Source organism: Homo sapiens, chromosome 10 (assembly GCF_000001405.40).
Source record: "Homo sapiens chromosome 10, GRCh38.p14 Primary Assembly".
NCBI classification, from domain to species: Eukaryota; Metazoa; Chordata; class Mammalia; order Primates; family Hominidae; genus Homo; species Homo sapiens.
Genome location: NC_000010.11, coordinates 10,329,103 through 10,341,491, shown reverse-complemented (window position 1 = coordinate 10,341,491; position 12,389 = coordinate 10,329,103). Strand labels below are relative to the sequence as shown.

The window sequence follows — 12,389 nt, the reverse complement described above, 5'->3', positions numbered from 1 at the left end:
CTCATACGATTCTTTTCTGTCCACTCCCTGCATCTCTCCTCATAAACACTATGTCTGTCTTTTTTTCCTAAATGTTGTTTATTCTACCTTGAATCCCTTTCTCCCTGTGGTAGATTAAAGATGTCACTTTTTTGTTTTTGTTTCTTTCTTTTTAATCCCTTTTAGAGGCAGTTTATTTTCCATTTTCCTACAACTGTGCTGGCCATGTAATTACTTTAAACAAACTGAAGTAGTTCTGTATCTAAACCCTAAGAAAACCTGGTAACCTTTTTCTTTTTGTTTTGATCTGTCATCTAAGCAATCTGGCCACCTTTCTGGAGAGACTGCATGGAAAGGCCAGATGACGAGGAATAATTTGATCCTACTTGGACAGAAAAGCCCAGCCTGACAACTGACCACAGCTTTCAAGATATCTACCACCTGTAAGCGGTACACATCTTAGATATTCCAGCCTTGTTGAGATGCCCAGTGACCAAAGTACTAACTGACATTACACTGAACAGAAGTATTACCCACTGGAGCAGTCAACCACACAATCATGAAAGATAATAAAATGACTGTTTTGTTAAGCCACTAAGTTCTGAAGTGGTTTGTCAGGTAGTCACAGAGTTACCTTGTCAGAAGCCAAAAATTCTGTGACAATGATTAAGGCATTCTGTAAATCCAAAATCCACAGATGGTGATTTTGGAAAAAAAAAAAAAAAGTCTAGCAGGTGAGGCAAATCCATAACTAGAATAAATGACTACACTAGTGAGAGTAAAGAATTTTGCTTTCATGATGGAAGTAGTGCAGAATAATCATTCTGCCTGAGGTGGCTGGCTGGTGACCTCAGGGCATGGCACCGTATTGGAGGTTGACTTTTAGTCCTCGTAGTTGGCAAGTTATAGACACTCAGAAGAGTATCCATTTCACTTTTTTTTTTTTTTTTGAAATGGAGTTTTGCTCTTGTTGCCCAGGCTGGAATGCAATGGTGTGATCTCAGCTCAATGCAAATGCAACCTCTGCCTCCTGGGTTCAAGCAATTCTACTGCCTCAGCCTCCTGAGTAGCTGGGATTACAGGTGCCCACCATCATGCTGGGGTAATTTTTGTATTTTTAGTAGAGATGAGGTTTCACCATGTTGGCTAGGCTGGTCTCAAACTCCTGACCTCAGGTGATCCACCTGCCTCGGCCTCCCAAATTGCTGGGATTACAGGCGTGAGCCACCACGCCCAGCCCCATAACACTTTTGATGTGTCACAGTCTGTTTGCTGGGCTTCCCTGCCACCAACACCACTTTGTTCATGAGCTCATTGGGCACAGACAGGCGAGGCTGGGAAAAGGTTGGATTTTAGGAGGTACTGACCTGCTGCCACACAGTGGGGACAAGAAAGTATACGTCTGGAATTCAGAAATTGTCTAGGGTGCCTAAATTATTGCAAACCCATATGGTTTCAGAATATGTGGAAATGCACTAGTCCTCTTGCTAATAGTCTATTTTTTAAAACAAGATTAAGTTATATTTTCATCAAGAATGATGCATATGGTTAGACTCCAAAGGACTAATATCTCCAGAGAACCTCTGCCTTGAGAAGGGAATTAAACTTGAAAATTGAGTCCTGGAGCAACTACTTAGTAGCTGTGTTGGGTCTAATTTATGGGGGTTGATTAATTTTTAGTGGTTAAAGGAAAAAGTATATAGAGCATTAAATGGGAAGGAACTAGAATATGATTAAAAAATGAAAAGGCATGTGAACTGATGGGAATCTTTGTAGTAAAAAAAAAAGCAAAGATAAACAATGCAAATTGACCATAAATCAAGCACAGCTATGCAATAGGGGGTCTTACTGCCAAAATGTATGCAAGATCTAGGGACGTGGCTGCAATGCACATTCCTTTCCCTCCAATTCCTTTTTCCATTGGCTCTTAATCCCCTCTTCCATGAGTATGATGGAGTAATTGAGGGTATACAATTAACAAGCGATTATAAGCAGTATACTATTAATAAAGAGGAGACCTCAGAAAGTCTGATCCAATTTCAAGGAAAGAAGATGTTGAGCCTGTGTCATACAATAATCTCCTTCCTTGTTTTTGCAAGTCCAAAAGATAAAATAGCTGAAATACTTGTAAAATATCTCAATTTCTGTGTTCCACTTGTAATTCCAAGAAGGTCATGGCTCCCTAAATAAGACAATCCTGGAAGTAAAAAATGAACAACTTAATTTTTCAAGTCTGAGTTTCATCACACAGAATGTTAGGTTTATAATGATTTTCTAGTGGTGTTGATGAAGATGGAATGAGATCACATCTGAGTAGCATCTACCAGTGTCCAAGTGTTTTTTTAAGAAAAGTAAAGAGAGCAATTCAAAACAAGTATTTATTGAACATTTAGTGTGTGACTCTGTGATAATAAAGACATTAAACAGATTCCAATTTCATCACATTTTAAAAACTACTTAGTATAAAAAAGTAATCTGTGGCTTAATCAACTTGATAAATAATAATTGTATCCTGCTAACAAAGATCCTGTGAGTTGATGACGGTTTTCCCCCTACAAACACGTTGGCTGAGTCTGCGTATCTGTTGTAAAATAAGAAAAATAAACATCTGAGAACATGGTAGTTTAGTTAAATCTAGTAGATTTTTCAAAAGCCGGAACATCTCATTTAAATAAAACAAACATTTAACCTCCACATTAGACTTTTAAACAGGGCCCTAATGCATAAATTAAATTCCTAATTTGTTTTGGACATCATTAAAGTGTTCCGCTATAAACTGGAATACATACATTTGGGACGACTGGTTGTAGAGAATCCTTAAGATAGATTAGATAAATAAGAGATAAATAAGAGGGTTAGCTCATAGTCTAAATTCAGGCTTTCAACATTTTTTTATTTTTATTTTCGGAGTTTTGCCTGGGCAGGAAATGCTCTTACCCCTTTCATATGGAAATTATTTCCACAACACGCACCATCAATATTCATCAACTATCACACCAATTAACAAACCGTGAATAATCTGGAACAAAAATTTAATGCATGAAAACCCACAGACATCTAGGTGGCTGTTAATAAGGCTATGTTTGAGGTAATCGCACACAAATTTAATTTTAAATATGCTTCCCTTAAGGAAGGGGTATCAGTGTTAATTTAAGAATTTAATTTGTATGGTGTTTTAACAAAATGTCTTTCAAGGAATCTTTGCAAAAACATCACACCAACCAAACATTTATTTTTCTTTTACGAATGGAAACAGACTATTCCCTTTATATTGATATAACTATGGACCTCTTTTGTGGAATTAATATAACCCTATACCATCTTAGTAAAAAAAGTTGTCAAAGAAATTCTTTGAATGCATACTTTATAAAACATATAATTTTGAAATGAGTACTAAAAGAACATTTTTCATCTTTAAGCAATATTAAAGTTTAGTCCAGGTGCTTAGAGGTTGATCATTTCTGTAAATGAGCTCATACTGGGATTTTAAAATTTACACACATTCTAATTGGCTTTCTGAACTAGTGTTTTAAACTGGCAGCTTTTCATCCCAGAGAAATTTATATTATTTTTTGGTTTTGTTTTCTCTAAATTTGATGACAGAGAAAAAAAGGATGTCAACTGCTTCTGCATACACCACAAGATCACCAAGTTCTGGAAGAAGCACACAACTTTCTCTGCAGCAAGTAAGTAGCAGAATGGCAGAGTTCCCACCTGCCTGTTCCCCTACACTTACTAAGAATCCCCTGCCTTGGTAAAAGATTAAGGTAAAGCCAATAAAAGTTGAGGAGAGAGAATTATAACGATATAAGCTAAAATTAATTACACTGAAAATAAAGATATAGAAAGGATCAACAAGGAGGAAGCTGATCCCCGCAAAGACTAATAAAGTAGATAAATCTCTCACATGACAAATCAAAGATCAAAAGACAGCACAGATAAAGAATATTAGAAATGTAAAGGAGGATTAATTATAGCTGGGGTGGAAGTTTTAAATGTTACAAGAGAAAATTTATAAAACCCATATGACAACGTTTGAAAATAGAAAAAAAATGGTAATTTCCAAGAAAATATAATTGACTGAAGCATATTGAAAAAGAAGTAAAAAACCTGAACAGATGTATCAAGGTTAAAGAGATTTAATTAATAGTTAAATATTACCCTCCCCCAAAGGAAACAACTCAATAAATATTTCAGGCCCATATGACTTTTTAGGCATTTTCTATCAAGCATTTAAGGAAGGTATTATTCCAATAATATGCAAACTCTCTAGAGTGGAAAAAAAAGAACTACATTTTACAAATCTAATATAATTTTGTTAGCAAAATCAGGTAGCTAGAGTTTGAAAAACGAAAATTACAGTTCAGTGATACCATTCAGGAGCATGCAATTAAAAAACCCCAAATTAAAAAATATTGGTAATTCAAATCCAACAGTGTATATTTGGAAATATCAATTAGTTATTTTTAAATCTTATCAGAGGATGTCTTTTACCTAGGACTTTTAATCCATTTCATTTTATTTGACTTCTATAATTTATTAAATGTTTCTTATTTTCCTGATTTTTCCTTTTTTTTTTGTTCTTCCTTCCTTGAATTCTCTTCTGATTGAATATCTTTTCATTCTCATTCTCTTTTCCTTTTTTTTTTTTTTTTTTTGAGATGGAGTCTCACTGTTACGCTCAGGCTGAGGGGTGCAGTGGTGCAATCCTGGCTCACTGCAACCTCCCTCCAGTGTTCGAGTGATTCTCGTGCCTCAGCCTCCCAAAGTGCTGGGATTACTGGTATTAGCCACTGCACCTAGCCTGTTTTTCATTATTTGTCTGGCTTTTCTTGTTCCTTTTGTTTTTTAAGTTTTATTCTATTTTTAATTGACACACAATGATTGCACACACTTATGAGGTACAATGTGATGTTTCAATACAAGTATGTATTGTATGATGATGAAATCAATGTAACTAGGAAATTCATCACCTCTTATAATTTGTAGGGAGATCATTCAAAATCTTCTGTTCAAGCTTTTTTGAAATATAAAATACATTATTGTTAATTCTAGTCACCCTGTTTGTGTAATAGTTTCACCTTTTTTTTACTTTCATATTGATTGTACAAATATTCTTGTTTCATTTCTTTTTATGTATTTGGAAGTTAGAGACTATAATTTTGTACAATTTTTAACAAAGTCTAAGTTTTATCAACAGTATCCTTACTTCACTCCCAACTAGTACAAAAAGGCCTTAGAAAGCTTTGTCTACAATCAATTCTCTTCAATTCATATGCTATTGTGGTCCAGTATTTTAGATCTCTCCTGTTTCTCTTTTTCTAAATTTTTATTGTTTGACAGAGTCAATGTGCATTTTGATTTCTCTACAAATTTTCTAACACCTTTGTTGATTTTTCTTTTTGCATCTTAGACTTTCCATTTGAAATAATTTTCTTTGTGCCTGAAATTTTTTTTATGATCCCTTTGCAGAAGTTGAAGTTTTGCTAGTAGCAAATATCTTTCGGTCTTTGTTTGAAATTACCTATTTCACCTTCATAATTGAAAGATACTTTTGGAGGATGTAGAAATAAAGTTTCACAGTTATTTTCTCTTCCTCCATGGAAGATACTATTCCACTGTCTTCTATCCTCTGTTGCTGCTTTGTAGTCCCTTGCTAGTCTGATGTTGCTTCATTGTAGTTGATGTGTTCTATCTCTGTGGCTGTTTAACCTTTCTTCATCAGTGCCCTGCAGCTTCACTGATGTGGTTAGGTGTTAAGTATTTGGATTGCCTTCTTTTCATTTTTCTTCTTCTTCTTTCTTTCTTTTTTTTTTTTCTTTAGACCCTGCTTGGGGGATGGGTGTGCCTGTAATCTCAGCATTTTGGGAGGCTGAGGCGGGAGGATCACTTGAGCCCAGGAGTTCAAGACTAGCCTGGATAAGATAGCAAGATCCCCCCATCTGAAAACAAACAAACAAACAAACCCCCACCCCCCAAAAGAAAAACAAAAAAACAAAACCCTTCTGGGGTTTTGTTGAGATTTTAGGATTTGAAGATTGGTAAACATCAACAATTCTAGGTAAATTATTAGCTGCTATTTTTTAAATATTGTTTTGTCCCCATTCTCTTTTAAATTTCCATCTGGAACTCTGATATTCTTTTCATTTTTTTTCATCCTGACTTTTCTGTTCTTTAACCTCTTTTGATTGTATTTCTATCTCTTTGTTTTCTTTGACTTTTATAGGCTTACTCTTTTGGGTTATAACCTTCAGTTTACTAACTCTTTTGGTCTATGTATTTATCTGCTATTTAATCCAGCCATTGAGGGTTTATATTTTACTTTTGTAAAATTCCTGAAAGCTTCGTTTGGTCCTTTTAAAATATTTGCATAATCTTCTATAGATTTAACTTTTTTCAAAGTCTTATTTCCAGCCTCTCTTATGTTTTTAACTGTATAAGTGTTGTTTTTCAAAATATTCTGTTTCTGAAGGGTTCATTGGAATTTCTGGATACATTCTATGTATCTCTTTAGCTTTCTTTTATACTTTATGTTTAATTTATAGAAAATATGCTACATGATGGGAAAATGTTTTATTTGATATTCTAGTTCATTAATTTATTGGTTTTATTGCTGTTCCTTTTCAGCAATTCAACTCAACTGAGTTGTTTTGAAAACATGTTTAAATTCCCATATTTTACACAAATCTCAGAAGAATATTAGCTAAATTTATTTTGAAATATTTAGTTTGCAGTAAAAACATAGCTTCCTTGGTTGCCCATTTGTTACCTCTCTTTAATGTGTTTGCGTTTTTGATTCTTGGATACCAGGTTGTGTGTGTGAGAATCTGCCTCACCAGGTTTAGTAGAGGTTGGTTCTGACTACAAGAGCCTGTATATGGTGATGGGGGTGAAAGGCCTGTGTTGGGCTTTGATATGGTTTGGCTCTGTGTCCCCACCCAAATCTCATCTCAAATTGTAATCCCCTAGAGTCAAGGGAGGTACCTGGTGGGAGGTGATTGGATCATGGGGGCGGTTTCCCCCATTCTATTCTTATGATAGTGAGGAAGTTCTCACAAGACCTGATGGTTTTAAAAGTGGCAGTTTTCACTCATGCCCTCTCATCTACCACAAAGTAACACATGCGTTGCTTCCCTTTTGCTTTCCACCATGATTGTAAGTTTCCTAAGACCTCCTCAGCTATGTGGAACTGAGTCAATCAAAACTCTTTCCTGGCCGGGTGCAGTGGCTCATGACTATAATCCTAGCATTTTGGGAGGCCGAGATGGGCAGATCACGAGGTCAGGAGATGGAGAACCTCCTGGACAACATGGTGAAACCCTATCTCTACTAAAAATACAAAAATTAGCTGGGCGTGGTGGTGCATACCTGTAATCCCAGGTACTTGGGAGGCTGAGGCAGGAAAATCGCTTGAACCAGGGAGTTAGAGGTTGCAGTGAGCGAAGATCATGCCACTGCACTCCAGTCTGGCAACAGAGTGAGACTCCGTCTCAAAACAAAACAAAACAAAATAAAACAAAAAAACAAAACTCTTTTCTTTATAAATTACCCAGTCTCGGGTAGTATCTTTATAACAGTGTGAGAAGGGACTAATACAGACTTAATGGCTTCTCTTCCTTATCGGACTCCTGAGGGATCTCAGAGCACAGCTTGTCCTTTTGTCCTTGGTCATGTGTGGACACACTGGCATTGCCCCATGATCAGTCCAAATATGTCGAGGTTGGATAAATCAATAGCTTATTGTCCAACGGCATTTCTCCTTTTCATTTCCACATGCCTCCCTCCTGTCCCTGCTCTAGATCTGAGCTTTGAGCTTCCCTGAAATGGCTCTTAATCCACCAAGTGTTCTTCCTGAATGAGTTTTGGATTTTGGTTTTCTTCCTTTTTTCTTCTCTGTGATTCTGATCTCATTTCATTTCTACTTCTTAGGAAGTTCTCAGAAATTTTTTTCCACTGATATCTTCCCTTGGTTGCCAGTGAAGTTATGAGATTCTTTTCTAAGATTAACCTGACATTAAACTGAATTTCTGGTGGGAGGGGAAGTAAGATGCCTGTGTTCAGTTTAGCTTCTTTTTCTGATCTCATCCTCTGATGTTTTTCTATTTCTATTCTCTTGTGTGTTTAAATAAAATTATTGCTTTTATGACTCCCTAACATTTTTTTGAAATATGGCTACTCCATGGTTTAAACATTCCCTACAATGTGACACCTCAAATGTTTCACTAATGTAAATAACAATAGAGGGAACATACTCAGAGATACACATTTTTACATATCAATAATATTTCCATAGAAGCTTGCTGGGAGCAAAATTACTATGTAATACCTTTTTGAATAAGTACATTGTGACTTAATTTTAGAAAGGGTTGCTGCAACAGTGTCCAGTAGATGTCAAAGCTTAAGACAAATCTGTCTGGTATGCTCTGTCTCCCCTGAAGCGACACAAGAGGTTCAGTTTGGGGTGTTTCTGCTGTCAGCCTGTCTGTAATGCTGATTAGGAACAACTGACTGATTTCACACAAAGAAGAAAAAGTAACACTTCTGCCAGCTGTTTCGAAAACAGTCATGTGCTATATATAAGTAAAGAGTAAAAGGAGGTGACATCACTTCTATTTTTATATCTGATTCTAAAGCTATTTTTGCATATATAACTAGGACAATATATAATTATTATGTATTATATATATGTTTTATATATATACATATACACCTCTATCAAGCTTTATCTAACAACACATGTGTATATGTATGTGTGTGTGTGTATACTGAATGTTTGTGCCCACCCAAAATACATATGTTAAACTCCTACCCCACCATGTGATGGTATTTGGAGATGGGGTCTTTGGGAAGTGATTAGGATTAAACAAGGTCACCAGGTCAGGACCCCAGCCTGAAGGGATTTGTGTCCTTATAAGAAGAGTCAGCATAGACCTCACCTTCCCTATCTGAGCCTGTGAGCACACACTAGGAAGAAGGCGGTCGTCTACAAGCCAGGAAGAAAGCCCTCTTCAGAACCCAACCACTCTGCACCCTGACCTTGGATGTCTGGCCTTCAGATATGTGAGAAATACATTTATGTTGTTTAAGCCCTATAGTCTATAATATTTTGTCATGGCATCCTGAGAAGGCTAATACAGTGTGTGTACACACAAATACATACCTTTTTTTTCTGTGAACCAAAATGAAAATCTTCACAGATGCAACCTAAGAAATTTTCATCCAAACATTTAACATTACAGTTCAAGGATTCTCTTCTTCAGACCTCTAAGAAAGCTTTAGAAAAACAGTCTGACTCTTCTTGATTCAGATTCTGACCCTTTGTAGCACCAGTATTTCTAGGTGACTATCAGATAGTTTAGGCTTCATGCTACTCTTCATATTGAATCCTGATTTCTGATGGGGCCCCTAAGGGTAACTTCACATTTCTTTTGTTCTATTTTCTGGTAGCATTACCAGAAGTCCCAGAATTTTGGTCAGGTAATATAATAGTTTCTGTCCTTGTCCAATGAGTATCCTATTAAGAGATTTTTGGCTTATATGGAAGGTTTCCACACCTGTGGCCAGCCTTTCTTCACTATTTTCAAAAAGCCTTTTTTTTTTTTTTAACTGCAAAGAATGAAATAAATAGGTCTGTAGGTATAATGATACCTCCAATGATTGTGTTATATAAATGTCATGTTAAATGAGGATTTAAAAAAAATATTCCATGAGGATAATTTTCTAAGATAAAAATCACAAGTACAGAAGTATAGCTGACAATGGGGCAGAAGATTAAGTATAGATTTTGGAGCACAGCTGGACTCCTGTATTTGAAACGTACTAGTTGTATGACTTTAATAGAGATACCTAATTTTCCTGACTTTAATTGTGAGGTCTTAGAATGGCATAATAATACCATTCCTTAGGATGGTTAGGAAGATAAATATACTTTATGTAAAGTCCCTATTTGATTCTTGGCCCATAACTGTCCTAAATGGCAATATTCTAGTGGTTATTTTTATTGTTATTGCTTCTGTTAATATTTTCACCTTTGTTTCCTTCTCTACCTTCAGCCCTTGCAAAATATTACACTAAATCTTATTTCTACTGCTCACTGCTCTGAGCATCATGAATTGCATAAGGTTTTCAGTCATACAGAAATAAACCACTTTCTTGAATCTTCCACACTCTGACCATGTGATTATGAAAAATCTCTTTAGCCTCTCTGTACCCCAGTTTCTTCATCTGTAAAAAGAGAACAGTAACACTTATTTTATAAGTGTTTAATCCATGAGGATTAAATATAATTATGTATATAAATGTATATAAAGCACTGGGGATAGTACTTTTACTTTCAAAGTGAAAGATTATAATACATTTTGGTCTCTATTAGTATTACTGAATATTATTAATTCTTTGATACATTTCCCCACCCCCCACCCCCCACAAAAAGGCCAAGCAAGAGTCTCTGGGGAAACCCATCTAATATATTTAAATTTCACTTGGTTTGTTCCATACCCATTCATATCACAAGATTCCCTTTCCTATACCCAAACCCCAAATTATTTCCTTTCTTTGCTTTACAGGAAGAGCTATTATAGAGAACAAGTTGAACAAATACTGCAACTAGAAAAGGCTGTTTAAATGAGCAACCTCAACTGATTTTTTGAAAATGATGCTAAATAACCCATTGTACCCAAAAAGGGAAAAGCAAACAGATAAAATCACAACCTACACCGTGAAAAATATCCCAAAGTGAAAAAGCAGTTATATAAACAGCTAGTGAAAAACGTAAGTACTATAAGTACATACATAATTTCATCATCCACTGTTTCACCATTAGATGTATTCTCTTTCAGGCATCTGTCCAAGACAAAGCCACAGTGAGCCTCTTAAATTACTTACGGCTCTTAAAAACACACACTTCGGGTTGCAATTTTTAAAGTATTTAAATTTTATTTAAATGTGTTTAAAGACACTTTTATGTCCCTGGATTTGGAAGGAGTTAGCATATTTCCCGTTACCATACCAGTCTTCAACATGTTAAGGACTGTACTGAATGCTAATTAAACCCAGAAAATATGTAGGAAAAAATTGAAATTCTCAGCTCATTGAAACCACACATTGTAAGGTATTCTAAGAGATAATGAAGGTCTGGCAGGTGGCAGTGAAAAATTAACTAATGGGGATATTTATTTTTGATTCATTTTCAACATCTTGTTTCTGAGGACTCTGTGTTTATGAATATACCCAGGAAGCTTTATGATTTCATCTCTAAGGCTAGATTACATAAGTTTTGATTGAACCATCATACTTTAGATCATGAGACCTTAGAAACTGTTCCTTATAATTCCAGAGGATACTCTAGTAATAATGCTTATATACAGCAAATCTGTTCCATCTTTTCCTTTATATAATCTGACCTCAATGCTTTGCATATTTTTCATTTGTAATAAAGCAATTTTAAAACTTGTTTATATGCTCTTTTATTTTTAATTGCTTTAAAAAATCCAAGGGAGTAAATTGGTGTTGTCTTTTGGCGAGAAACCTGGTTGATAGCATAAAACTATTTGGAGATAGTAGACTGCATGTTATATTTTCTTCAGTAATCTATGTAAAAGGGACATTGATGAGAATTATGTGTTATCAAGAGCGGCCTCCTTAGAAGACTTGTTTACCAAAAGAATTCTCTCCTGATTGCAGTAGATCACCAAGAGGAAATCAAGTCTACAGGCACAGTTGTATATTTTTCTACTTTTCAGCTGGAAACAAGGGATGCAACGACTTTTTTTTCTCATCAGGGAATGGAAAGAAAGCAGATATGGAATACAAGAGAAGGGTACAAGAAGCAGGAAACTGAACATACATCCCTTGCTAAATAGAAACACAGAATGACTCCAGAGATAACTAGAAATGCCAAGGATGCAAAGTAATGGTAATGTCTTTTTTTCTCCTGAAATGCACTGTTTATAATCTTTTGAAGCCTTAAATTGGTCAGAAAAAGAATGAACCTGGTAGAGTAAGACAAAGGGTACACAGTCAGCAAGCTCAGAGCCTTCAAGAACATCATAAGGAAGTCTTTGATGATCCTTGAGGATGGTAATAAAGACACAAATTGTATTGCTTAACCTCCCATTTTCTGCTCAGCAACTGTGACTTTGCTTTTTAAATGACAGCACATTTTAATTAATGCATTATAATCAGTATACAAGAAATTTGGGCTTTCTCTGATATTCACACTTAGTCAAACACTTTACATTGTGCCTCTTCAAAGCCAAAGCCTCACTTCCTGGTGGTAAAATTCTGATTGTAAGCAGAGTATCTAAGCCAAAAGATAAATTGCCTACAAAACTCAACATACTGAGATATGTCACTTCTGGGTAGAGATGATGAATTGAACACTGGCATTTACTTAAAATACTTTCATTATC

General features: G+C 35.5%; 1 long non-coding RNA gene across 1 annotated transcript; it reads left to right on the top strand.

The window, feature by feature from the left end:
• Window positions 1-233: 233 nt before the first annotated feature.
• LOC107984207 (uncharacterized) lies at window positions 234-10,749 on the top strand. The gene is made up of 3 exons (XR_001747364.3): window positions 234-422; window positions 3,583-3,665; window positions 10,545-10,749. It is a non-coding gene; the product is annotated as an uncharacterized LOC107984207 (long non-coding RNA).
• Window positions 10,750-12,389: the final 1,640 nt, after the last annotated feature.